At 42.8% G+C, this 27276-nt stretch overlaps 1 protein-coding gene, 2 long non-coding RNA genes and 3 other non-coding genes across 6 annotated transcripts in view, besides 8 other annotated features; 2 read left to right on the top strand and 4 right to left on the bottom strand.

Moving 5' to 3' along the window:
* Nucleotides 1-1767: 1767 nt before the first annotated feature.
* Nucleotides 1768-10335, bottom strand: HMGN4 (high mobility group nucleosomal binding domain 4). The gene is made up of 2 exons (NM_006353.3): nt 10200-10335; nt 1768-3574 (listed from the first exon to the last, which is right to left on the bottom strand). Exon 2 carries the CDS (start codon nt 3492-3494, stop codon nt 3222-3224), a length of 273 nt encoding a protein of 90 aa, NP_006344.1. The 5' UTR covers nt 3495-3574; nt 10200-10335; the 3' UTR covers nt 1768-3221.
* Nucleotides 9715-10124: an enhancer, noted in NCBI's record as "active region_24246". NCBI's record gives its function as "activates an Ori minimal core promoter by ATAC-STARR-seq in GM12878 lymphoblastoid cells {active_cell/tissue: GM12878}" and the evidence as "EXISTENCE:reporter gene assay evidence [ECO:0000049][PMID:35858748]".
* Nucleotides 10575-10647, bottom strand: TRV-CAC1-6 (tRNA-Val (anticodon CAC) 1-6). The gene has a single exon. It is a non-coding gene; the product is annotated as a tRNA-Val (tRNA).
* Nucleotides 10615-10664: a silencer, noted in NCBI's record as "silent region_17013". NCBI's record gives its function as "represses an Ori minimal core promoter by ATAC-STARR-seq in GM12878 lymphoblastoid cells {active_cell/tissue: GM12878}" and the evidence as "EXISTENCE:reporter gene assay evidence [ECO:0000049][PMID:35858748]".
* Nucleotides 11058-11351: a silencer, noted in NCBI's record as "fragment chr6:26537578-26537871 (GRCh37/hg19 assembly coordinates)". NCBI's record gives its function as "represses an EF-1alpha promoter that drives an FKBP-Casp9 reporter gene in an ReSE screen in HepG2 liver carcinoma cells {active_cell/tissue: HepG2}" and the evidence as "EXISTENCE:reporter gene assay evidence [ECO:0000049][PMID:32094911]".
* On the bottom strand, nt 11131-11203 carry TRR-ACG1-2 (tRNA-Arg (anticodon ACG) 1-2). The gene has a single exon. It is a non-coding gene; the product is annotated as a tRNA-Arg (tRNA).
* Nucleotides 11385-12049: an enhancer, noted in NCBI's record as "H3K27ac hESC enhancer chr6:26536880-26537544 (GRCh37/hg19 assembly coordinates)". NCBI's record gives its function as "activates a minimal SCP1, AML or CMV promoter by ChIP-STARR-seq in naive H9 embryonic stem cells {active_cell/tissue: H9 hESC(naive)}" and the evidence as "EXISTENCE:reporter gene assay evidence [ECO:0000049][PMID:30033119]".
* Nucleotides 12139-12638: an enhancer, noted in NCBI's record as "H3K4me1 hESC enhancer chr6:26536291-26536790 (GRCh37/hg19 assembly coordinates)". NCBI's record gives its function as "activates a minimal SCP1, AML or CMV promoter by ChIP-STARR-seq in naive H9 embryonic stem cells {active_cell/tissue: H9 hESC(naive)}" and the evidence as "EXISTENCE:reporter gene assay evidence [ECO:0000049][PMID:30033119]".
* Nucleotides 15244-15997: a transcriptional cis regulatory region, noted in NCBI's record as "candidate enhancer chr6.1172 targeted for multiplex CRISPR interference". NCBI's record gives its function as "positively regulates H2BC5 gene expression in K562 cells {active_cell/tissue: K562}" and the evidence as "EXISTENCE:mutant phenotype evidence [ECO:0000015][PMID:30612741]".
* TRT-AGT2-1 (tRNA-Thr (anticodon AGT) 2-1) lies at nt 15711-15784 on the top strand. Its single transcript has one exon. It is a non-coding gene; the product is annotated as a tRNA-Thr (tRNA).
* Nucleotides 15739-15828: a silencer, noted in NCBI's record as "silent region_17012". NCBI's record gives its function as "represses an Ori minimal core promoter by ATAC-STARR-seq in GM12878 lymphoblastoid cells {active_cell/tissue: GM12878}" and the evidence as "EXISTENCE:reporter gene assay evidence [ECO:0000049][PMID:35858748]".
* The window catches only part of LOC107986583 (uncharacterized), a 40750-nt gene continuing 34776 nt past the window's right edge, over nt 21303-27276 (top strand). Inside the window, exon 1 of the long non-coding RNA XR_001744057.3 lies at nt 21303-27192. This is a non-coding gene — a long non-coding RNA (uncharacterized LOC107986583). The remainder of the gene's footprint in view (nt 27193-27276) is intronic.
* Nucleotides 21308-26995, bottom strand: HCG11 (HLA complex group 11). Its single transcript, NR_026790.1, has one exon. It is a non-coding gene; the product is annotated as an HLA complex group 11 (long non-coding RNA).
* Nucleotides 26540-27059: a silencer, noted in NCBI's record as "silent region_17011". NCBI's record gives its function as "represses an Ori minimal core promoter by ATAC-STARR-seq in GM12878 lymphoblastoid cells {active_cell/tissue: GM12878}" and the evidence as "EXISTENCE:reporter gene assay evidence [ECO:0000049][PMID:35858748]".

Below are 27276 nucleotides of genomic sequence, written 5' to 3'. Positions count from 1 at the left end.
CTGGCTAATATTTTGGTATTTTTAGTAGGAGACAGGGTTTCACTATGTTGGTCAGGCTGGTCTCAAACTCTTGACCTCAAATGATCTGCCCGCCTTGGCCTCCCAAAGTGCTGGGATTACAGGTGTGAGCCACTGCACCAGGCTCTCATTCAACTTTGAGCTGAGAACAGGGAATATTTCTTTTATCTTTGATCCTAATCTGTTGTCAGGCATAAAGTGCAGATAAATGTTTGCTGTTTATCAAATAAAATGGATTGGGAATAGTTGAGCAGATGAAGGATGGTAATACGGCATGACAAAGTAGAAATGCCAGCAATTCACTATTACAATGGAAAAAAATGCTATTATGTAATTCCAGTTTTACTATATATGCTACTTACTGGTTTTAGTAAGGGCTCCATATGGAGTGGCCTGGGTCTCAGTTTTGTGGAGTAATCGAATTGTCTTTTTTCCTTGTTTTTCAGTGGCGATGTAAGATTCTGGGAAATATGAATCTTTTTTTCAAATCTTCAACAGAGCTTTATGCATCAATATGCTAATGAGGTAAATTGCACTACTAGTCATTTCCATAAAGTATCTCTAATTCTTTTCAAAACCTTGCAAAATAGATAATAGTTCTTGCTTTGTTACTGAGGAGATTGTGGCTCAGAAAGGCTAAGCAATCATCCAAGCTTGGCATTATTTACTGCCAACTCTCTCAGACCTCTTCACCGTTCCATACCATGTCCAAATCATCAACATGTTTTGCCTAGATTGCTGTGACAGCTTAGTCTATTGCTCATGCAGCAGCCATACTCACACACACACATATATAAAACACCTTAGATTGTGCCATTTCTTTGCTCGAAACTCTAATGGCACCAGGCATGGTGGCTGATGCCTGTAATCCCAGCACTTTGGGAGGCCGAGGCGGGCTGATCACTTGAGGCCAGGAGGTTGAGATCAGCCTGGCCAATATGGCAAAACCCCGTCTCTTCTAAAAATGCAAAATAATAATAATAATAAAATTAGCCGGGCCTGGTGGTAGGTGCCTGTAATACCAGCTACTCGGGAGGCTGAGGCAGGAGAATCGGGGGCGGAGGTTGCAGTGAGCAGAGATTGCGCCACTGCACTCTAGCCTGGGTAACAGAGTGAGACTCCATTTCAAAAAAAAATGCAGAGACACGGCCGGGCGTGGTGGCGCACGACTGTAATCCCAGCACTTTGAGAGGCTGAGGCGGGTGGATCACCTGAGGTCAGGAGTTCGAGACCAGCATGGCCAACATGGTGAAACTCCGTCTCTACTAAAAATACAAACATTGGCCGGGTGTGGTGGCGCGCGCCTGTAGTCCCAGGTACTCGGAGGCTGAGGCAGAAGAATCGTTTGAACCCGGGAGGTGGAAGTTGCAGTGAGCCAAGATCACACCACTGCACTCCAGTCTGGAAGACAGAGTGAGACTCTGTCTGGGAAAAAAAAAAAAAAAAAAAAAAAGCAGACACCAACACCTAGACTACGCTGACCATTTGAAAAAGAAATTACAGGTATAATAAGGACTAAGAAGAAACAAAATTGTTTGTATACACAGAATATATGGTTGTCTATGTAAAAAAAACAAACAAACCCACAAGAATATGCAGATACAAGAATGAGAGGTAGCAAGGCTGCTGGATACAAAAATCGAAATCAACATTAGCTAAAAACAGAAAATGTGGTAACTAAAAATATACCATACGAAGTAGTGTTAAAAAGCATAAAGTCCCTAGGAAATATTAACAAGAAGACCTTTATGGAGAAAATTATAAACTTTATTGAAAGATATTTCAAAGGCCTAAGTAAATGAAGAGCTGTACCATATTCATGTATTGGAAGACAACATTGTAAAGATGACATGGTTTACCAGATTAATCTATAAATTCAATACAAATCCAATCAAAATTTCAATGCTCTTGGGTTTGTTTGATTTATAAATTGTTGGTCTAATTCTAGAAGTAATATGGAGGAACAGTTGGCTAAGAATAGCCAAGACACTCCAAGGAAGAACAATTTTGTGGTGATACTGGAGACAGAGGTGAAATTGGTTACAATTATGACAAAATGTGGAGGCATCTTGGTTTTTATCAGACCTTTTCCTAAAGTTGCAATAATCAGGACTGTACTGTACTGCTACAAGATTAGACAAATTGATGTCAGTCAGAATAGAAACCATCAAAAGACCCACACACATACACAAAAATTTAATTTATGAAAGAGGCAGTGTTACAAATCACTGGGGAAAGGATGAACTTTTCAGTAAATAGTGCAGAGACAACCACTTCGAATATGAAAAATGTTAAGTTGAATTTCTAACTCATAATTTTCACAAAAATCAGTTCAGGACAGACTAAAGACAAATGTGAAAGGCAAAACTATAAAATTTCCACAAGGCAGTAAAGAATATATTTATGACTTTGGGTAGGAAAGGATCTCCCCCCAAACCAATTTGTATTCAGCTTTATATGATACTTTTTAAAAACATTTACTTTCAGCAGGAAATAGGCAACAATCTATAACATTTTACAATTTCCAAACTCCCCTCCTCCAAAAGTCACCGTAAAAGTTAACAAGATATGTCGTTGCTGTTTTGAACAAGAAAGATTTTCAGAGAGGGTGGACACTTCACATGAGGCATGTATGAGCTTTTCTCAGGCCCACTTTGACATGGAGGGACTAAAGTAAAACCAGCAGGATGAATCCACAAACTGAAAACAGGAATCTTGGCTCTTTTAAGTGACACCATCTCGATGTCATCAACAGAAAGCCTGAGTTTTGTTACCTAACACAGCTGATTTTAGGGTTGCCAAGGCCACATCAAAACTCTCGGTTTAAGGAAGTCAAGTCTATGCTGATGGCATCGGGGAAAGGGGAGACACGAAGTTTTGGTTCCCCACACTGTAAGGCTTCCGTGCCAAAGTGGCTGACACGTGAATGTCAGAGAATCTCTCCTGGGAATCAAGGGAATCAAGAACAATCTTCAAAAACCAGGACAGAAAATCCTATTTTCCCTTATTTCAATTCAGTTTCTGAGATACACCCTATTAGTGGTACTTGCCCTTTCCACAAAAGACAACAAGGAAGTGTCCTGTGTGCTAACAACATAACTTAAAAAAGCCAAAATTCTACACTTTTATAAAACTTGATTTAAAAAAATAGTATTTCAAACAGTAGAGTCACTATAAGTACAGAGCTCTCAAAAATGTACATTTCACTTGGCATCCCCAGTGCCTTCCGCTTTCTGGGACTGGAGTGTAGAGGCATCTCGGTTTTTTGCAGGGTTGTTCCCATCCTTTCCAGCATCTGCTTTCCCCTTTCTCCCTTTGGGAAGCTTCTCTCCCTTCTTTGCAGAGGCCTTTTTAGGCCTGGGCTCTGGTTTTGGAGGAGCTGGTTTAGCAGACAACCGAGCTGATCTCCTCTGTGGCTCATCCTTCACCTTTGCTTTATCACCTTTAGCATCTCCTTTTGCCTTTCTCTTGGGCATGGTAGCAGCAGTGTTCGCAGGTGGCTTGAGCAGTCCTGTTGGGTGCTTCTGTCCTCCTCACGCTGTTCCTGGAAAGATGTCTTTAACAAGACACAAAAAGCGTAAACCATAAAGGGAAAGACTGACGAATGTAAACGTTAAAAATCAAATTGACTATATTGTTAATAATTCGTGTATATCAAAAAAGATAGCATAATAAAAGTAAAACAATAAGTACCAGCTTGGCAAAGATATATGTAAAATATATAATGGACAAAATGTTAGAATCCTGAATACATAAAGCATTCCTATAGATCCATGAGGAAAGGACAAAATGAAAATTTTAAAACTATGGCAAAAAATGTTAACAGGTACTTCTTGGAAGCATGAGTGAGGAATAAGCACCTAAAAATATATAAGAAGTACATATTAAAAGCATAGGATATAACATTTCATATCTATCAAACTGAGGAAAACCAAGTTGTCTGACAATATCAAGGGCTCAGCTGATATGGAGCAATCAAAACCCTTATGTACTGCTGTGTGTGTGTGCCAATTAGTGTATTTGCTTTTGGAAACAGTGGTTATTTGTAAAGCACTCTGCAAACAGTGGTATTGTGTAAAGCAATTTTACTTCTAGGTGTTTACTTAGAGGGATTCTTGGAGGTGTGGACAGGAGATCTCCACAAGAATGTTTCTAGCAACACTGTAATTTCAAAAACCTGTAAATCACCCAAATGTCCTTCAATAGTAGAAGGGATGCATATATTTTGGTAGTATGTATAAAAGGGAATACCATTCAGCAGCAGAAACAAATAGATTACAGGTAGGTTCAAAAACGAGGATGAATCTCAAGAATATAATGCCGAAGAAAAATAGCAAGTTGCAGAAGAATATGTACACTATAGATCCATTTACACATGTAAAACTATGACATGTTGAGGCCACAAACATATAGTAAAACTTAAAAAAAAAGGGATAAATAAAAATTGGACAGTGGTCATCTCTTGGGAGTTGGGAAAGGGATGTAGTTGGAGAAGGCATGGAGGTTAGTCCAGAGATGGGGGAGGTTGCATTCTCTTCTTTAAACTGTAGGGGAAGCACATGGCTGGAGTATTACCTATGTCTTACACAGAAAAATTGTATGTGTCTGCTCAAGAATTAATAAAAGTACTAAAAAATGTGGGTAGCCCAGAGCACAGATTGAGAGCCACACAGGTAGGAAATGGAAAATAGTTTGAGTTTGAGTAATTAGGACTTAGGCCTAGGGCTGGCATTCATGGGCACTGTGTGACTTTTTTAAAGCTTTTGTCTATCATACCTTCTGCCCCACCCTTGAAAACATTTACTGGGAAATTCTGTAACCTTGTGAGTGGCCACCATTCTACAATGTTATTATTATTTTTTTAATCTTGTCTCCAAATTGCTCCAGTTTTTTTTTTTTTTTTTTTTTTTTTTTGAGATAGAGTCTCAGAGTCTCGTTCTGTCACCCAGGCTGGAGTGCAGTGGTGCGATCTCGGCTCACTGCAACCTCTGCCTCCCGGGTTCAAGCAATTCTCCTGCCTCAGCCTCCTGGGTAGCTGGGATTACAGGCGCACGCCACCATACCCAGCCAATTTTTGTATTTTTACTAGAGACAGGGTTTCACCGTGTTGGCCAGGCTAGTCTCGAACTCCTGACATCAGGTGATCCACCTGAGAATTGCTTGAACCTGGGAGGCGGAGGTTGCAGTGAGCCGAGATTGTGCCACTGCACTCCAGCCTGGGGGACAGAGTGAGACTCTGCTTCAAAAAAAAAAAAAAAAAAGGTAATGGTGCCACTGAGACATACAGTTCTACTGATCTAACTACACCTGACCTGCTCTCTTCTGAAGAAATCCTTGCCTAGACATTACATGAATTTATTGCTAATTTTTGTCTTTTTCCCTTTATTTCAAATGCAACATTAAGGAATCATTTTAACAATTTTTAGGAAACAAAAGGAGTTACTCTTACAATGAAGGAACCAGTGAAAATCACTTGGTCTAATGGTAGGGTGACTTGATTTATACCTGTTGCCCTAGTATAATTATTCATAATGTTCCCTTTTACTTTGAAAGGTGACCTAACTTGGGCAATGAATAATAAGGTTACCCCAAATATTCTGCATATATTTTTAGAGGCCTTTATGTTATCAGAGAATGAGAGTGTTTAACCAAAAAGTGAGATTTTGGCCTAGCACACATTTCCCTAAGAATAGATACTCCATACCATTCTCCTTCCATCTCACTCCAAAATTGTTTCTCAGCCCATTTCCTGGTGTGAGAATGCTCACACAGTCTCTTTTCCTGGGTTCAGTCTTCTTCGAGTTAGATCCATTGAAGTCCATCCGAAGTAGGGGGGCCATGATCTCCACATGTCAAAGGCCAAAATACAGCAGGTGACAAAATAAAATCAGGAAAAATAGGCCACTGCCTGGATGCTGTATCTGAGTATATAAATACGGATTTAATTCTTGAAACTCACCTTTAGGAAGCTGATTAGGAGACCAGGTCACTGACTCTCTAGAGACCTTACAAATGTGGGAGACAGATACACACATAATGAAAAGGGACCAGAGAGATGGGTAAAAGCTCTTACCATTTCCATAAAGGACAAGGAGGTTGGAAAAGGAAGGAGCTCTCACCACACAGTGGTTTTAACTCAGAAGAAATTATTTGAGGTGGCGCAGAAGAGATTTTTAGGTAAATGAAACTCTTTTGTATGCTACTGTAATGGCATATATTATAAAATGGTAGATGTTATGCACTTGACAAAACCCACAGAACTTCATACAGTGAGTGAACCCTGATGTAAACTATATATTTTAGTTAATAATAAGCTATCAATATTAGTTCATCATTTGTAACAAATGTACCACACCAGTGTAAGTTGTTAATAACTTAGGAGAAACTGAGGTGGGGGAAAGGAAGTATGTGGGAACTCTGTATCTTCTGCTCAATTTTCTGTAAACCAAAAATTGCTCTGAAAAAAGGAAGTCTATTAATGTAAAAAAAAAATACGCATTTTAAGAGTTCAAAAAAATAATGTTAATGATAAAATATAAAAGTCATTACAAATACTCCTTCATGCATGTGGAAGAAAAGAAAAATTATTAACTGGCAGATAAATCTTACTAGTAATTGTACAACTTTTGGAAACATAGAGAAATGACTTTCAATGGTATCATCAGGGCAAGAAATTATCAAGACAGATACTGAAGTTATTTTCCCAAGACATGGCAACAATTTTAAAAGTTTTAGAAATATAACAGTTCCCCTTTGTTAAAATAACTCTTCCAATAACATTATATTACAAACAACAGAGCAAGTTAGTGAAAGTTTTGAATCACTCGTCTTCATTGCACAGAACTGGACTGAAATTCTCATGAAAGCTCTCAATTTAACTCCTCATTTAACCAGATTGCTGTAGGGGAGAAGAAACATCTGCTTCATCCTTCTTCCAATCCTTTTGTTAGCATGAAGACTTGCATTTTTATCATTAGAAGAAGATCATGATGTTTAAATTAACTGGCAAAAATAGCTTTAAAAAAAAAACTAATAGTGAAATAAAAAGCAAAATAGGGTATTATGGGTGGGCCCTAATTCAATATTACTGGTGTACTTATAGGAAGAGGAGATTAGGATACAGACAACATAGAGGAACACATCTAAGGATGTAGTGGGAGGTGGCCATCTGCAAGCCAAGGAGAGGCCTCAGAAGAAACCAAACCTGCCGACATCTTGATCTTGGACTTCTATCCTCCAGAAGTCAAAGAAAATTAATTTTTGTTGTTTAAGTCACTCAGCCTGTGGTACCTTGTTTCGGCAGCCCTAGCGGACTAACATAGGAGGGAACAGTGTAAGAATTTAGTGACTCAGGCAGGGCGTGGTGGCTCACGCCTGTAATCCCAGAACTTTGGGAGGCCAAGGTGGTCAGAAGTTCGAGACCAGCCTGGCCAACATGGTGAAACCCTATCTCTACTAAAAATACAAAATTAGCCATGGGTGGTGGTGCGTGCCTGTAATCCCAGCTACTAAGGATGCTGAGGCAGGAGAATTGCTTGAACCCGGGAGGCAGAGGTTGCAGTGAGCCGAGATTGCGCCACTGCACTCCAGCCTGGGCAATAGAGTGAGATTCTGTTTCAAAAAAAAAGGAATGTAATGACTAGGGAAACATCTTGGATTAGATTAATTTGGGGGTCTCACCCAGCTCTCAAAATATATTTTTCCATGTTTTTTCTCTTTCATAGCAAGCAAATCCATGGACCAAAATGCCACCTCATTCAATACTCATTTTCACCTCATCCCTAGCAAACACAAGGCACATTTTAGCAGCATCTTTTTGATCACTCGATGGATACGGAACTGGGTTTCTGGGAGGTAGTTCTAACTTGGGTTTTAGCCTCAATCCCACCCCGAAATCAGAAGGTTCCCCTCTCCCTCCCTGCCTCTTACTTAAGGAGAGATCGTGTTTGGGGGTTGGAGGGAAGATCTGGAAGAAAGTTAAGAACACCAAGCTTAGGAAGGAGAGAATAAAGGATATAATTAAAATACAATAAAAAATGCACAGGCAAATGCTGGGCGTGGTGGCTCACGCCTGTAATCCCAGCACTTTGGGAGGTGGAGGCAGGTGGATCACTTGAGGTCAGGAGTTCAAGACCAGCCTGGCCAACATGGTGAAACCCATTTCTACTAAAAATACAAAAATTAGCTGGGTGTGGTGGCATATGCCTATAGTCCCAACTACTTGGGAAGCTGAGGCAGGAGAATCACTTGAGCCTGGGAGGCGGAGGTTGCAGTGAGCCAAGATTGTGCCACTGCACTCCAGCCTGGGTGACAGAGCAAGACCCGGTCTCAAAAAAAAAAGAAAAAAAAAAAAAGATTCACAGGCAAGATGCAGTGTGCTACAGAAGCAAGAGGTCACATGGTGTCAGTCACTCTCCAGGGCGTTTGTTCTTCATCTTCCAAAGTATTAGAGACGCAGCATGAGTTTCCACGGAGGTTAAGTGAGAGAGACTGGGAGATGCAGGGGTAGAAAGGAAAGATGAGAAAACGCAGGGTGTCTAAAAGGGTAGGTTTGCTGCTGCAGCTTGCCAGAATGCATCTGCTTTAAAGAGAAGGAGTGAGCCATAAGCTCCCAAACAGTCACCCATCTGTAAAGGTTGGTTAGGGGCACACTCACCTTCCAGGCTAAAGTATTCCTGCTAACTGGGATCGGAGAAAGATGAAGAGGATAAATCCTTGTCATCTCCTAGGACCCTGGAACCTTTGCCCCCTTTCTGGGCACCATAATAACTTGCTTATATTTCTGAGTAGTACAGAGGGGATTTTAAATGAAAATGTATTAGACAGGTTGCTGTTGAGCACATGCCCAAGTTTATTGTCTTGCTAACCAAGATATTATCTTGCTAGCCAAGGTGTTGTCTTGTTAAGGGAACCAGCAAGATGACAAAAGAATGGACCTTTCAAGTCAACGTCTACCCAAGCAGCCTGTTTAAGAAAATGATAAAAAGAAAACAGCTCATTAACATTGTCCTTTTCTTTCTTTTCTTTTCTTTTTTTTTTTTTTTTTTTAATTTTGCGGACCCACCAAAGAATGCAGCCCTTCTTTTCTCATGGTCATAAAAATATCACATTCGGTTGGGCGCGGTGGCTCATGCCTGTAATCTCAGCACTTTGGGAGGCCGAGGCGGGCGGATCACTTGAGGTCAGGAGTTTGAGACCAGCCTGGCCAATATGGTGAAACTCCGTCTCCAACTAAAAATACAAAAATTATCCGGGTGTAGTGTTACACACCTGTAGTCCCAGCTGCTCGGGAGCCTGAGGCACAAGAATCGAGGTGGAGGTTGCAGTGAGCGAGATCGCACCATTGCACCCCAGCCTGGACAACAGAGTGAGACTCCGTCTCAAAAACAAACAAACAAAAACAAACACATCACATTCTTATTAGTCATTTGAGGGAACCTGGAGCAATATGATCTGAGAGGCTAGGCTTGGCTAATCCCTAGAAAAAGTAGTAATACATCTAAGAAAGAAATCCCTCTTAGGGAACACCCGAGGCTGCCAGGTGACACAACAAAACTTTCTCATAAAAGCGTTTGATTAATCCGATTAACTTGTAAGCAAGCCATGTGGCAGAGGTAAGAGGCCAAACACCAAGGCACCAGTCCTGATTCTAAACAAGTGCTGGTCCATTTCTTAACTTTGGGATCCATTTTTTCTTTGTGATGGAATAGCAAAAGGTCAAAGTGGAGGAGGACTCAGCCCTTGGGTGTCTCCTCAACGAGGGTTTCTCGAAGGTAAATTGGGGAGGAAGGGAGAGCCCACGGCAGGTCAGTCCAACCTGCCAGTCACCACCTCTTTAAGGCCACAGCCCTGCGGGAGCAATCCTTTCAAATCCCCTTCCTTCCTTCTTTTAGAACGCCCCTAGAACGCCGATTAGGACTTCTCATCCCGGTCGGGCCTGCGGCTCTCTGTGACCCCACCTCTGGATTCAGCTTTTCCCAGGGATTCACACTCGGAGCTCAGGAGAGATGCTGCGATTACTCTGGAGACGGGAAGACAGGCGGGGCTGACGGGGCCCAAGGCCCCTAATCATGACCGGGGCCAGCTGGCAGGAGGGTCCTAAGTATACGGAGGGCGGCGGGACCCCCCCCACCACGCCCCTCATTTTCCGGGGTAGCGCACAAAGTCTGTGAGGCACTTACCCGAGTCTCGTGGCCGTCCGAGGGGCGCGGGAATCCCAGCTGAGGCCCGTGACGCGCCGGAGCCCTAGGCGTGGGCAGGGCCAGCACCAGCCCTAAGACAGAGAAGACGAGCGGAGCCCGGCTCCGCCAGGAACAGGAAGGCGAGGGAAGGTGAGGATGCGCTTCCGGGGCTGCAGGCGGGGAGCCGCCCCGAGTCCAAGCCGGAGAGAGCTGGTTCTCCCCCTGGCGATACGTGTGTGAGCCTCTGAGGCCCGCCCTAAGCACTGCTGCCCCGATCTAGCAAGACAAGAAGACAGGAAATTTATGACAGCCTGAAAAAGTCTTTAAAAGATACACACTGGAAGAATTTCGTAGTAAGATGAGGAAAAAAAAACGTGTTTCCGCCCGGTTTCGAACCGGGGACCTTTCGCGTGTGAGGCGAACGTGATAACCACTACACTACGGAAACCCACTAAGGGCTTATTTTTCAGAGTAAATAGTTCTTCCTGCCTAGTTCCGTGTTTCTTCGTTCCAAGTGCGTGTTTTGCTGATGTGCGCGTGCGTCTCTGTACCGACCTCTCAAACCAGAAAAACCAATGAAAAGCTCAGACCCAGCCCCTCCAGTGTTCAAACTGAAGCCATAGAATTTATTCTACAAATGACTGAATAGGGAAGAACACAATAGAGACTTTAATTTAATCTCTGAACGGTCCTTCGTTCTTCGGCCAAAATGGCCAGGCAAGGCTGGGCACAACTTGGGTAGGGCGAGCGTTTCTCTGGCGTAGTTGGCGTTACCACGTGGTCAGTGGCAGAATGCTCCGCAAAGAAATGATAACCCCATATGTTGTCGGGAGCTGCCCCTCTTGCTTCTGAGTCTTCCAGGCAAATTTATCTTGCAGGAATTTCCTTACTCCTGCGGAGTCAGAAAGTTGTAAAACGACCCTGCTTACACCGAGCCAGCCAGGAGTCGAACCTGGAATCTTCTGATCCGTAGTCAGACGCGTTATCCATTGCGCCACTGGCCCTGCGCGTACCTTAGGGGCGAGGTATTTCATAAGAAACTAGGTTGTACCCGTAATATCTGGGTGAACGCCTGTAAGCCGCGTTTGCCCGCTGGTCCAGGCTCGCAGCGCATGGACTCTCTGGTAGCTACTTCTGCACACGCCCCGTGGCCTTCATTCCTTTCTCGGTCTGTCTCTGCCGGCTGAAAAATGGCGGTGAAAAGCAAGCCCTGCATCCTCTCTGCCCCAATATCACCGCTCCATTAATGCGTTCGTTCATTCAACCAGTATTAGTGTTCAAGGCACTGCAGATAACGGTGAAGAAAACATGAGAGACCCTTGCCCTCAAGATTACATGGCAGTGGCGGAAGCGGATAATAAAGCATTAAATAAACAAAATAATAGTGATAAGCGATTGGAGAAAAATAATAATAAAACAGGGAAAGAGGATAGGAAAGGCCAGCAGTGAAAGTGATGAATGAGGGATAAATGCTGATATCGGGGAAATGAGTGATCTGGAACAGGGAAAAATCGCTAGGGAAAAGGCCTGGAGGTGGAAGCAGGCTTGGGAGTTATGTTGAGGAGGCCGGTGCTCAGTGGAGAGGAATAGGAGATCCTGGGAGACCACCTCCAGCTTTATAGGCCCTTGTAAGGACTCTGGCCAGCTTTACAGGCTCTTGTAAGGACTCTGGCTGGTATTCTGTAGGAAACTGGAAGCCGTTGTACGGTGACGTGGTCTGAGTTTTCATTTGTCTCTCTGTGGGTCTTTTTTTTTTTTTCTTCAAATATTTTACTAAGCGAAACTGTGCTAGGCCTCCTCACTGCATGCTGCTTCTACTGCAGGGCCTTGATCTCAGAATTTGACAGCTTTATAAGGAGCATCATCAACCCGGACACTCATATGAATGTTCACTTTTTCACTTTGAAAGCAAACAAACGTCTCATATGTGTGTGTTTTAGTTTGTCCATATTTCTGAGAATAAATCATCCCCATGCCTGGTGAGCATTTTAAATAAGATGAGGTCTACTAAACAGAAGTAAAACTGCCTGATATTGAGAATATACACTTTGAGATTAGAAAATATTTGTTTTCAGTTCATAAGGTTTCAACAGCCGTTACAAAAAATATTCTGCTCTTTCTGCATAAATATTAAGGTAGACCTAGGTTATGGATTACTCCCTAGGCAATAGCATAGGGATCTTCTCGTTAGGTTTTGTACTATGGACCCCAAGGGCAGCTTGGTGATTCTGGACTCTATCTCAGAATAATACTTTTAAATACACGAAAGAAAAGATAAATATGTAAGATTTCAAAAGAAAACTAATTATGTTAAAATAGGTTACCAAAACTTTTTTTTTTTTTTTTTTGGAGACAGAATTTTGCTCTTATTGCCCAGGCTGGAGTGCAATGGCGCGATCTCGGCTCACCGCAACCTCTGCCTCCCGGGTTCAAGCGATTCTCCTGCCTCAGCCTCTCAAGTAGCTGGGATTACAGGCATGCTCCACCACGCCCGGCTAATTTTGTATTTTTAGTAGAGACGGGGTTTCTCCATGCTGGTCAGGCTAGAGCATCCCTGGAAGTCACAGGTCCCACCTAGCACCTTAAAAATGAGCTTTAACCCAGCTGGCTGTAGGCTCTGTCCACATTCAGTCTCCTTAGTGTTTGTCTATAAAAATTTATCTGTGTTTTGCAGGCTTTGAAGACCTCCCTTGGGTGCCTCAAATTTCTTAGCCATATTCACTACAATAAATGCTTTCAGCTGGGCGTGGTGGCTCACGCCTGTAATCCCAGCGCTTTGGGAGGCCGAGGTGGGCGGATCACGAGGTAAGGAAATCGAGACCAGCCTGCCCAACATGGTAAAACCCCGTCTCTACTAAAAATACAAAAAATTAGCCGGACGTGGGTCCCAGCTACTCGGGAAGCTGAGGCAGGAGAATTACTTGAACCCGGGAGGCGGAGGTTGCAGTGAGCCGAGATCGCGCCCATTGCACTCCAGCCCAGGCAATAAGAGCAAAACTCTGTCTCAAAAAAAAAAAAAAAGAAATGCTTTTGCTTTGCTCTTGGAAATCTTTCTACATCTTTTCTGACAGTTCCAGTTTCAACTTCCAGTCTTTTCTTCAGCATATATCGGAGAAAGAGTCCAGATATATAAATCTAGATATATATCTATATATATCTAGGGTGAGGACTGGCAAGTCTGAAACCTGTAGGGTTGTAGGGCAGGCTGGAAACTCTCAGGCAGAAGCTGATGCTGAAGTCTTGAAACAGAATTTCTTCTTCCTTAGGGAGGCCTTTGTTTTGCTCTCAAAGCCTTTTAACTGATTGGATAAGGCCCATCTACATAAGGGAGAATCTTTTTTTAAGGTTAACTGATTGTTAACCACATTTACAAGATAACTTCACAGAAACATGTAGGTTAGTGTTTAATTGAATAACTGGGTAGCCTAAGTTGACACATACAACTATGACAGTGGTGGACTCTTCTCTGTGTTTCAGTGCAGTTTTTTTTAGTTTCACTCCCAGGCACATGGAAAACTACACCATCTGCCACTCTCACATTGTTTTACATGACTGTCGGCAGTCTGTGACACAGCCACCTGCATCCTCTCCAATTTCAGACGTGTGGAGCGGAGCCAATGTGAGGGTTCCATGGTTCCTAATCACAGTCGGAACTGAATAGAAGATATGGTTCACACCAAGAGTTCTGTAAATGATTGCTCAAAGTCTCAATTTGCTTCCAAGGCTCATCTCTGGCTAAACAATTCCTTTGACATTCTAGAAATTCTGTGCAAACTTCGTCAGCTGCCAAAGGAAAAACCAAAATAAAATACTATTGGCTCTGCTGTCTGGGGCCTGCCACAGTTGGGTTAAAGCCATATTAGGTGTGACTGTGCTATTTATGATGATTATATTGGCTCCAAGCACACTAATAATATGATGGCTAATCTTATAATAATAAAGTAATAAGTGCTTATTTCATGAGTCTCAATCAAAGTGAGTGCTGAATTCATAGACTGGCATCTTTTTTTTTTTTTTTTTTTTGAGACGGAGTCTCGCTCTGTCGCCCGGGGTGGAGTGCAGTGGCGCGACCTCAGCTCACTGCAAGCTCTGCCTCCCAGGTTCACGCCATTCGCCTGGCTCAGCCTCCCGAGTAGCTGGGACTACAGGCGCCCACCACCACACCTGGCTAATTTTTTTGTATTTTTAGTAGAGATGGGGTTTCACCGTGTTAGCCAGGATGGTCTCGATCTCCTGACCTCGTGATCCGCCCGCCTCGGCCTCCCAAAGTGCTGGGATTACAGGCGTGAGCCACTGCGCCCGGCCGACTTGCATCTTTTTATAAAAATGAAAACTCTAGTCGGCGTGACCTTTTACTGTTCCCCCCATCGCATACATAGGCAAAGGTACATGCCAATGTCTGCCTTAGACTGTGACAGAGAAATCCTTCAAATATTGATACAGCTAAGGAATACTGAAATGTCTGTTTCAGCATAACCACCAGGACAACAGATTTCAAGTAAAACAGCCAAACATAATTACAGGTTTCATTTGGGAAGTTACTTTCACAGCTGTGCCAACAATTTGTATACTCTTCAGAATTTCATTAAACCCCTTTATTCAAATTATACTCCCAAGATCAGATTTATTTTTAATAGAGAACAGAATAAGTTGGAAACACATAAGCCCCCATGACAATATAGAAATTTTCTCTCTCTCTCTCTCTCTATATATATATAATATATATATACACATACACACACACACACACACACACATATATATAATGCTGATTTGACACATCAAATCAGATCCTTTGGACAAGTATTAGGACAAGAAAGCTTTTCTTTCTGTGTAGCTATACCGGGAAGGGGACTTCTTTATCTCTTTCCAAGATTAAGTTGTTAATTCTTAAATCTTGCATTTTTAAGAAGCAACTCTGGAACCCCATTAGTTAATCTTTAATAAGCAAGAAGCAGGTAGGTGGAGCCCAGTTTTAACGGAAAGAAATGGGGTAAGGAATGACTGGAATTTTAATCTAATTCCAGTTTAATTTAAAAGCCATGAAATAAGAAACAAATAGCTTCCTTCCTGCTAGATCAGTTCTTGGTGCCGTAAGTGTTCTGGTGTAAATGCATTACACGACTCGGAGGAGTGTTCTGTAAATGTGGCTGGCTACCCGCTCTCCTACCCTCTTCTCCCTGAAGCCCGAGGTCATACTTTATCCACGTTAGGATGAGCTGCTTGCTATTTGAGGCAGTTTCTCGGAGGACTCTCCTGTTCGCCCCGGGGCGGGGGTCAGGCTATCGCCAGCCTTTCCCTCACCCCCCACCTCCCCCACGCGAAAAACCTCGTTATCCTGCAGCTGAGCGGTTTCTTAGGTCTTTTGGGGCGAAGCCAAGGTTAATCTTCAGTGTCTGAAGAAGCGTGTAGCTACTTTCAAACCTCAGTAACAAGAAAGTGTATCAATGCACAGAACAAAGGCAAAGATCATCTCTTTTCTATGCTCATTTGTACCACCGCAGGCATGGTGGCTCCGTGGCTTAGCTGGTTAAAGCGCCTGTCTAGTAAACAGGAGATCCTGGGTTCGAATCCCAGCGGGGCCTGTTGTAGTTTTCCTGCATTCAAAGTACCCACGGAACAGTTGAAGTATGCGTGAAAGGTTATTTTCCCCTATGGGGCTCCATCAAAGTGTTTTATATGCGTCCGGTGTGAAACCTCCTTGTTTACGAAAAAGAAGCAAAGATAAATTTGGCTTTCTTTCAGAATAATGAAATTCTGAATTTCTTGCTTTTCTTACACTTTTCTTCCACATGTTATATCTTACAACATGTACGAGAGGAACCAGGGAAAGCAGAAGGCAAACACCAAATTTAAACTACAAGCAACATCATAATCTCTAGTCATTCTATTTTCTTTCCTGGGGAAATCCTAAACAGATTCATTGTCAGAATCTGCAGGTAATGTTTTTAGAAGGTCAATCTTTGGAATGATTCATAATCTGTTGTTGAGAAGGCTGTAGCATCTCTGAAAATTCACAGCAAACAGTAAGATCTGGCCACATAAAACAAGCTGTGATTCGCTATTTAAAAAGATTGCATTGTACTCAGAGTTTTTTGGAAAGGAACAAATCAAAGCAAAAACAAATATTTGTCACCAAGACTTGAGAAAAGAAGCTGTCAGAGAAGCCTCCATTTGCTTATGGGGCCCACTAGAACAGGCTGACTTGAAGAAGTCCAGGAAGGGTTGAGATGCCTTCTCCCAAACTCTCCAAGAGGAAGAAAGAGAAATTGAGAAGTAGGAAAGAAGTCAGTTTTACTCTTAGCAGAAGTTCTCCACATAGAAACACAAGACCAAGGAAATGGAAGTTCACTGTAACTATTACCAACCCTCTCACCCATCTCCCAAGACCCAGCCCACAGCTCACCTGGCACAGAAAGTTCCACTTCTCTGGCTTTTGCTTTCAGAGCATATTATTTTATGTAGATTGTCAAGGCTTGCAATATGATTTCCTGTTCTAGCTCTGGAGACAAAATCCCAACACTTGGAGGAACAGCTCAGAAGCAACTCTACTTTTATGGAGACTTTCTACTCCCATTCCGCAGCTTAATTCCCCACTTTTCTTTTTTGTTGTTGTTTTTTTTTTTTTTTTTGAGACGGAGCCTCGCTCTGTCACCCAGACTGGAGTGCAGTGGTGTGATCTTGGCTCACTGCAACCTCTGCTTCCAGGGTTCAAGCAATTCTCCTGCCTCAGCCTCCCGAGTAGTTGGGATTACAGGCGCCCACTATTATGCCCGGCTAATTTTTGTATTTTTAGTAGAGACGGGGTTTCACCATGCTGGTCAGGCTAGTCTTGAACTCCTGACCTCAGGTGATCTGCCCACCTCGGCCTCCCAAAGTGCTGGGATTACAGGTGTGAACCACCGCCCCCGGCCAATTCCCCACTTTTCTTTATAAACATCAAGCACCAATGGAAAGGCAGACCCTTCTTTTTTTTCACTAGAGCCTTCTATCTTCTGTTCTTTTTCCCTAGGCCCAGATACAAACTTCCCTCAAATGATAAGACAGGCTGGGTCACTGGTGCAGATGTCAACACTAAATCACTAATTCATCCCCTTACCAATCCTGCCTCATTTCCACTCTCCTGCTCCATCAGCTCCAGAAATACCTTTATAGGAGGCTTGTGGCCAAGTGGCCCTCAACAGATTGCATGGTCTGTACACTGAGTTGGCAGTAGTGGTACTGGCTACTGAAGCTATTGAATATTCCAGGTGATGAGTCTCACTATCTTTCCCAAAAGCCTATGTCTTCCTAGTTCTCCATATATGGATACATCATGGAAACAATTTATGTGTAAAAGTGGAAATGGTTTGCAATCAGATGCTTGTTTGTCTAGTGAGTGGCTATTTGTCAATGGCCAATTACTATGTGGCAGTTACCATGCTAATCACACATGGGTGAAGAGGCTGATGGGAAGGGAGAACAATTTAATGGCAGTTATAGTATAGTGGGATGTAATACTATTGGGAGTACAGGGTGCTTTGAGCCACACTTGCCTATTTATTTATTTATTTATTTAGAGATGGAGTCTCGCTCTGTTGCCCAGGCCGGAGTGCAATGGCGCAATCTTGGCTCACTGCTACCTCTGCCTCCTGGGTTCAACGATTCTCCTGCCTCAGCCTCCCGAGTAGCTGGGACTACGGGCACCCACCACCACGCCCGGCTACTTTTTGTATTTTTAGTAGAGACGGGCTTCACCATGTTGGCCAGGCTTGTCTCGAATTCCTGACCTCAAGTGATCCACCTGCCTCGGCCTCCCGAAGTGCTGGGATTACAGGTGTGAGCCACCACGCTCGGCCCCACATTTGCTTATTTATTTATTTTTTTTAGGGACAGAGTCTGGCTCAGTTGCCCAGGCTGGGGTGCAATAGCACAATCCTAACTCACTGCAGTCTTGAACTCCTGGGCTCAAGCAATCCTGCTGCTTCAGCCTCCTTGAGTAGCTAGGCCTACCAGTGTGTGCCACTATGGGTCTGCCACCACGTCCAGGTGATTTTTGTTTTGTTTGTAGAGATAGGGTTTCATAATATTGTCCAGGCTGTTCTCCAACTCCTGGGCTCCAGACATACTCTGGCCTAGGTCTTCCAAAGTGTTGGGATTACAGGCATGGGTCACTGCGCTGGCCTGCAGCCTCATTTGAAAACAAACCTGTCTGTGTGGGGCTGGGTGCAGTGGGGATCACCTCTGTAATCTCAGCACTTTGGGATGCTAAGGTAGGAGGATCACTTGAAGCCAGGAGCTGAAGACCAGCTTGGGCAACATAGTCCATAGTGAGACCACATCTCTACATAAAATAAATTAGCCTGGCATAATGGTGTGTACCTGTAGCCGTAGCTACTCGGGAGGCTGAGGCGGAAGGATCTCTTGAGCTCAGGAGGTTGAGGCTGAAAAAAACAAAACAAAACAGAAAAACAGACAAACAAAAACCCTGATTGGGCGAAGGTGGAAGGAAGACTTTATGGAAGAAGTGATACCCACACTGAGCCATGAGGGAGACACAGAACTTGTCAAGGAAAGAGGATAGACGTGGGAGGAGTAGAATAGATGCCCTGGGCAAAGGGAACAGTGTGTAACTAAAGGTGAGGAAGAGAATGCTCAGTTCAGATAAGTGGAAAGCAGTTAGGTGAGGGTATGTGCAAGTCTTAAAACTGTTTTTTGTCTGGAGATAGGCGGAGAACATTTGACTTGGCAGTTGATAAGTGTCAGGTGTTTCATGCTTTCTTTTAAAAAGACAATGCCTTACCAAAGCAGTTTGGATAGCATTTGAATTTACAAGTTGTGGATTAAGTAGGGCCTCTAGCTCAGCTGCTGAGGTTCTCCTATGGGCAGGTGGAGCTAGAAGGGACTGTGTTTCCCATTGCATTCTAAGTAGCGATGCTCATCTACTTGCTTCATATCTGTCTGAGCTAGCCTGTTTACTTCTCAAGGCAAGGGCTGTGCCTGTCCTCTTCACTGCTGTATCTCCAGAGACCAGCACAGGGCCTGGCCAACAGCAGTGTGATGATTAATATTATGTGTCAATTAGAGTGGTTCATTAGATACTCAGATTACACATTGTTTCTGGCTGGGCTTGGTGGCTCATGCCCGTACTCCCAGCACTTTGGGAGGCCGAGGTAGGAGGATCGCTTGAGCCCAGGAGTTTGAGACCAGCCTGGCCAACATAGTGAGGCCCTCATGTCGCTACAAAAAAAAAAAAATTAAAAATTAGCCAGGTGTGGTGGTACGCACCTGTAGTCCCAGCTACTCATGAGACTGAGGTGGGAGGAATGCTTGAGCCCAGAAGATCGAGGCTGCAGCGAGCCCTGGTTGTGCCACTGCACTCTAGCCTAGGTGACAGAGCGAGACCTTATCTCAGGGTGCTTCTGGATGAGATTATCATCTGAATCAGGGACTCAGTAAAGCAAATTGCCCTCCCGGGTATGATCCCTCCCATTTGTTAAGGGCCTTAATAGAACAAAGGTTGAGGAAGGAGGAATTCACCTCTTCTCCCCCTACCCCACTGATTTACATCTCATTTTTTTTCCTCTTGCTCTTGGACTGGGATTTACTTCGTTGACTCCCGGGGCTTTCAGGCCTGATTGAGACCCAAACTGAATTACACTACCTGTTTTTCTGGGGCTCCAGCTAGCAGATGGCAGATTGTGGGACTTCTCAGCCTCCTCCATAATTGTGTGAACCAATTCCTTATCATAAATTACTGTCTCTCTCTCCATAGACAGGCATAGATAGATAGATACATACACACATACATACATAGTTAATAGATAGATAGACTATTAGTTCGGTATTTCTGAAGGACCCTAATACAAGCAGGTACTCAACTATGAAAAAAAAAATACAATGTATCAGGCATTTGTTGTTTGCCAGACACTCTTCTAAGCTTTTTACATATTCCAAGTCATGTAATCCTTACTGCATAGTTATGAGGAAAGGTACAGTTATTTCCTCCATTTTAAAGAGAAGGGCACTGAGGCACAAGGATGCAAAGTCACTTTCCTGGAAGGTAAGTAGCTGGCAAGTGGCAACGTCCAGAGATGGGCCTAGGCAGCCTGAATTGAATTCGACTAATCTGCTGGCCTTCCAAGCACCTTTAAGTGTTTTTTCTGCTACCCTAGGGGGTACACCTATTTGCCATTTCCTCCTTTCTCTTATGTTGCCACCTCTGAAGGAGGGATTCAAAGCCACGTTTGATCAGAATGTCAGGGTAGGCAGAAATGGAGTGAATATGTGGAGTGAATACTTGGGCAATAAGGGGGACCTTTGTTCTTTTCTAGCCTTGCTGATGATGATATTTCTAACACATATCAATTCATTTTTCTTTTAGTGCATGCTTGAATCTTTTTGTGAAGTTTGAGTGTTTTAGGAGAGAAAGAGGGCAGAAAAATTTTGAATATCAATGATCATAAAACAGATTCACTCTATATTCTGCTTTGGTAACTCAGTAATTAGATTGAATTTCTTTTTTAAAAAGGAATAATGAAGAGAAAATTCCAGTCATCTGAGGTTTTTGATTAATTGAGGCTTTGCAGTAAATTATGAGCTCAAAATAGAAACATTGCCTATTCATGTTTCTAACAGTAGCTATTAATGCTCAGGATGATCAGGCTAGACATTAGGAAACTTCAATTTGAGGAATATTTCTGGAGATGTCATTAAACATGAACTTCTGTGTGTATACATCATGCTCCCTGGGTCCTAGGTCCTGTTCTGAACTGCAAAATTAGTAGATTGTCAGATCTCATGACGTGCAATGTGTTCCTGCTGTATCTCAAGGAAAATCTTACACAGCCTCATAATTGAAATATAGGAAGATGTTCATTGATGGAACCCTTATTTGTAGTGGCAAAGTGGAAGAGTAGGTGACTTCACATTGCAGACCTCTATGTGGCAATGAAAATAGTTGGTTTAGATGTGCACACAGCAACATAGCTCAAAACTGCGGTACCAATGGAATAAGAAAGAGATCTATGACGCAGTACCACTTACATAAAATAAAAACACATTCACCCAAACCAATCGTACCTGTTCTATAAAAGCATATAGAAAGAAAAGGATGCCTTTTCCAGTGATTTTTTTTTTTAAACAGGCTTTTAAAATAACCTTTATTTTAAAAAGTTAATATGTTAATATGTGCATTATAGGAAACTGAAAATCACAAGAAGCAAACAACAAAGTCATTCACAATCACAAGCAGTTTACAGTTTGACATGTTCTTCTAGGTCCTGTGTGTGTGTAGGCACAACATCCCATCTTATGGGACTGAGATTGTACAGTATGTATCATGATTTTTGACACATCATGAATATTTACCAATTCAAAATCCCAAAGCTTTATTAGTATTTTGATAAACAAGAATACACTACACCAACTTAATCTGTTAAAAAAAAATGTAGTCCTACCTTTCTTGGGACAAAAATTTCATAGAAGACAAAAATGACAACACGCCTCTAGATAAAAGCATTGGCAGAGTTCTGATTTAAATGCTGCATTCCCTTAATGCTCAATTAAAATGAAACATACAGCAACAGAATACATTAAGTATAATGTTTCTAAGAGAATTCATTAACAGAGCTATACCATTATAATATTAGCAAGGTATATTTCCATTGAATTACTTAATGTATTCCTATAGTACAGCCAAAAGAGATGCATACATCAATGGCTATCATCAAAATGTAAATATGGACACATATGGACACATCTGCATACATCTCTCCCTGTATACTTCCTTCTGCCCCTCTGCTGCCAACCTAATGAACAAGTCCTGACATATACTGCTCAGAGGCGGTTTAACAATTCCATGTCCAAGATGCATCTTTTCTATCACTTATAAAAAGGTATTTACAAATTGGCTAATTCACTAGCTCTAGTTTTTTTTTTTTTGAGATGGAGTCTTGCTGTGTTGCCCAGGCTGGAGTGCAGTGGCGCAATATTGGCTCACTGCAACCTCCGCCTCCCAGGTTCAAGTGATTCTCCTGCCTCAGCCTCCTGAGAAGCTGGGACTACAGGCACGCGCCACCACGCCCAGCTAATTTTTGTATTTTTAGTAGAGATGGGGTTTCACCATGTTGACCAGGATGGTCTCGATCTCTTGACCTTGTGATCTGCCTGCCTCAGCCTCCCAAAATGTTGGGATTACAGGCATGAGCCACCGCGCCTGGCCCACTAGCTCTAGTTTTTATCACACATTGTCACCTCAGATATTCATAAAGGTTAGATGTTGCAAAATAATAAACTCTGTCCACAATAAACACAGGCACTTTACTAAAAATGCTCATATAGACCTGTGGTTATCATCTAAAACCATCTTCTAGAAATGGAGATACTAGCAAAGAGCCCTTCCCTTCGCCCTTCCTCTTCTCCCTCTTTCACCATCCCCAGTGACTAAGTATAGGACGTCTAGCTCCAAGAAGTGGACTAATAAAGGTCACTCCCAGAAGACAGGCCTTCCTAAAAACTAACAATAGGACATTCACAAAGGGACTGATTCACTACATCTATTTTTAACATACTTTGAGCATTAAGACTTGTTTATCCTTTAATACACAATATTAACACAATAAAATGCATACATAGAACAATGGTTAGACCATCTGAACTAATCTAACTCAGGGGCACAGAACCCTTCTCCCTGCATACCTCCTCCTCCTCCCCACCCCACCACGCAGTGAATAGTCAGCATACGCTCCTAAGCATCAAGTTTTAACAATTCCATTCCCAAATGCAACCACTCCTAGGAAGTACTGAAAACAAATGCTTAGAGGGGTGTTACTTTAGCCCTCTACTTTTAACCTATGTTGTGGAATTTTTTTTTTTTTTTTTTTTTGAGATGGAGTCTTGCTCTGTCGCCATGCTGGAGTGCAGTGGTGTGGTCTCGGCTTACTGCAACCTCTGTCTCCCGGGCTCAAGCGATTCTCCTGCCTCAGCCTCCCGAGTAGCTGGGACTACAGGCATGTGCCACCACGACCAGCTAATTTTTGTATTTTTTGTAGAGATGGGGTTTCACCATGTTGGCCAAGATAGTCTCGATCCCTTGACTTCGTGATCTGCCCACCTCAGCCTCCCAAAGTGCCAGGATTACAGGAGTGAGCCACCGCACCTGACCATTGTGCACTTTTAAACACCTAGAAAGACTAGATGTTTCAAACTGCACTTAAGTTTTCCATTATATACACAGTAGTATTGAATAAATGGCATATATACATAACATAGACTATAATTTGAGTGTCTTCTAAATAGGAACATTCTGGCCTAGAACACTTCCCTTTCTGACCTCTACCAACCCCGTTGACAGCTATAAGCCATCTGTAATGCTTGGGGGCGGGGGGCGTTTAACAATTTTACTTCTGTTTTTAAGAAGTGTTCCTTATGAATTTTAACACAAAGTGTACTCAATGTATTAGTTTACTAACTCTACTTTTGCCATACACTGGCAACCTCTTTAACATCGACTAGATATAAATTAGGACTCCTATGTCTGCTTATATACACAGCACAGTAAACGAAAATGCAGACATAAGGGACAATGGTCAATGTGCCTCATCATAAACACACTGGACACTGGTAGAAAGCCCTTTGAACTTTGTGCTCCTTCTTCCCCCTGAACCAGCACAAATATCATAACGTGTACTTCTCAGAGAATTGATCAATTTCCAAGACAATATTTCATATCAAAATAACTACAAAATGTGTTACTTACTACCTCTACTTTTAACATGCTTTGTGCACTTCTAAACATCTAGAAAGACTAGATATTTCAAATAAGGACTTAAGTGTGTCCACTATATACATAGCACTGTTGAATAAACTACACACATGTAACAATGGTTATATCTGAAAGTGTCTTCTAAATAGGAACATTCTGGTCTAGAACCCTTCATTCCTTCCAACTCCTCTCCACCACCAACCTGGTGGATATAAGCACATGTGTCACTTCGAGCTGATGTTATCATTTCACTTCCAAAAAGTCCTTTTCAGAAGACAGCCTCTCTATGAATTTTAACAAAGTGTACAAAATGCGTTAGTTTACTAACTACTTTTGTCATACACTGGCAACCTCTTTAATAGCTACAGACTAGATATTATAAAATCAGGACTCATTTGTCCAGTATATACACAATATATACAGTATAGCAAAGTTAAATGAAATGCTTGTAACATATAGGCAATGGATTAAGCTGAAATTTTCTAATAAACAATGGCAAAACACCTTTTGCAATTTTTTCCCTCCCACCTCCCAGGTGGTTCAACAAATCCACTTCCAAACAGCATTTCCCATCAGTTTTTAAAAGCTATTTACAAAAAGTGTTATTCTACTACTACTACTTTAAAATACATCAAGCACTTCCAAATATCTAAAGACTAGATATTTCATAGCCTGTCCACCATGTACACGGCACTGTTAAATAAAACTGCACACACATAACAATGGTTATCATCTAAGGTATCTTCTAAATGTGACCATTTTGGCCTTGAATCATTCCCTCTTCTCTTCCTTCTCTGCCTTCAATTCAGTGGACAAGTACACGCATGTGTAATGCTTAGAGATGGCTGAACAAATTCCTATGCAAAAGTCAATTACAGAAGACAAGTTTTCCTATGAATTTCAACACAAAGCATACAAAATATGCTAATTTTACTACTTTGTCATACACTGGCAACCTCTAGATGTTAAAAAATTAAGACTATTTGTCCATTATATACACTATATACAGAGCAAAACAAAATGCACAAAACATACAGAAAAATGGTGTCTGAAAATGTCCAAGTATGAACACACTAGCATATTATCTTTTGCAATTTCTTCCCTCCCACCTCCTCTAAACCATTGAGCAAGTATAGACAGTAATATACTGCTCACAAAGGTGGCTTCACAATTCAACTTCCAAAAGTATTTCCTATGAATTTTAGCAAAAAGATATTTACAAATTGGTATTTTACTACCTCTACATTTAATATACATCGGGCACTTCTAAACATCTAGATAGTCTAAATGTTTCAAGTAAGGAGTTAATTTGTCCACTATGTATGTACACAGCAGTCTCGAATAAACTGCAAACATGTAACAACAGTTATAATTTGAAAGAGTCTTCCAAATGTGAACATTCTGGCCTAGAACCCTTCCCATCTCCATCAACCCAGTGGGCAAGAATGCTCAAATTTTCAGAAGACAGTCTTTCCTAGGACTTGTAAAACAAAATGTACAAAATATATTAGTTTACTAACTCTAGTTTTGTTATACACTGGCAACCTCTTTAACATCCAGAAAGACTAGATGTTGTAAATTAGGACTCGTTTGTCCTTTATGTACATTATATACATAGATAAAACAAAATGCACAGACATAGTGATTCATCTTGCCTCGCTGTAAGCAGGATGGCATAGAGCTCTCTGCACCTCCCCCTCCTCTCTCCTCCCCTGAACTACTGCACAAACACAATGAGTATTACTCAACAGGTGATTTGGCCATTCCCCCCAAAAAACAACATTTCTATGAATTGTAACAAAAAGATATTTACAAAATGTGGTTTTACTACCTCTAATTTTAACATATATCAGACACTTCAGAATATCTAAAAAGAATAGACATTTCAAAAAAGCTTAGCATTGTCAACTACATACATAGTAGTGAGGAAGCGAATGCACACAAAACAATGGATAGAATATGAAAATGTCTTCTAAATATGACCAGTCTAGCATAGAACCTTCTTTTTTTCCTTCTCAGGTCTTCGAGCTCCATGTCATCTAACCCACTGAACAAACGTGAACGTATCGCTTCTAGAGGCCGTCTAACAACTCAGTTTCCAAAAGTCAACTCCGGAAGACATGTATTTTCTATGATTTCTTTTAAACAAATGAGAATTTACAAGATGTGTGACTTTCTAACTCTATCATACGTCGGCAACCTCTTTCCATCTAGAAGGGCTAGATGTGACAAATGTTTTCTATTAAAAGGTTGGGGTGGAGTTGAGAGCAGCTTTTTCATATTATATACACAGGCCTTCCGTAAACGGCCTGTGAATCTTCCCAGAGGATGGAGGGCATTTCCAACGGGCCAAACGTGGCCTGTCATTCTACCATTTGTCTCTTCCGACAGCAAGGTCTGGTAGTACGGAGACCAACCGCCCGATCGCCGCTAACCGTTCCACCCGTCGTCGTTCGGGACTTCGCTCACCTCCCAGGCCCGTTAAGGCCTTTGTCCGTTGTCGTTAGGACTAGGTAGGTCTCGCCCAATGGCGACAGAGTGGTCACCCGGGACCCAGATCTGGCGGCTCCGTGGCCTGAAGAGGCGGCCGAGCCTGCCTGCGTCCCTAGGCCGCCTTCCCGGGCCCTCCATGCCCTAACGCCCTCCGCCGCGCGGCGTTCGAGCGGCCGCCATGCTTCCCGGCACGCTACTCCCGCCGCCACCCAAAGGCGCTGCGTCCAGGCTGCTCGGCGGGGGTTTCGTCCAGGCCCGGCAGGCTTGGGCCGGGAGACCCGACGGCCGGCAGGGTCCGGACTGGGAGAGGCCGCCGCCGCCATCAGTCACCGAGGTAGGGTAGGGAAGAGACGTTCGCCACCGCTTCAAGGCCTGGGCCCAGCCAGTGGGCAGCCACAGCAGAGGCCTCCGGTATCTGCAGGGCAGAGGGCGCGGCCTGTCCCGGGGCGCCCCCTAGCTCACCCGCCGACCCGGGGCCGGAGGGCCTGGAGCGCCCTGGAGGAGCGGCCCGCGCTCTGCGTCTCTCCGCGCTCTCTGCCAGACCGGAACTCTTGCAGTGATTTCTTACGGGGAGTAAGGATGAGGTGGGGAATGAGACTGAAGAAATGGAATTAAAAAGATAACTATAACTAAATAAAGAGGAGCCCTGCAGTAATGTAATGAGCCATGAACTGAAGAGTAACATTTATTCAACTCTGCCTGTGAAGGAGGGAGAGGGAAAGACAACTAGAGACAGAGGAGAAACGGAAAAAGGAGGTGAGATTTCAAAACACCGGTAGGTTCTGAAATTATTTTCGGAGTACAGAGTACTTTTTGCTGTCCTTGGAGTGGCTAATAAAA

This window comes from Homo sapiens, chromosome 6, assembly GCF_000001405.40.
Source record: "Homo sapiens chromosome 6, GRCh38.p14 Primary Assembly".
Classification (NCBI taxonomy): domain Eukaryota; kingdom Metazoa; phylum Chordata; class Mammalia; order Primates; family Hominidae; genus Homo; species Homo sapiens.
Note: the sequence above shows the minus strand (reverse complement) of the source record. Positions and strands in the feature narration are given on the sequence as shown.

What these genes read in the sequence shown, in the direction of transcription:
- HMGN4 (NM_006353.3), bottom strand. Translation starts at nt 3,494, where the DNA reads ATGCCCAAGAGAAAGGCAAAAGGAGATGCTAAAGGTGATAAAGCAAAG.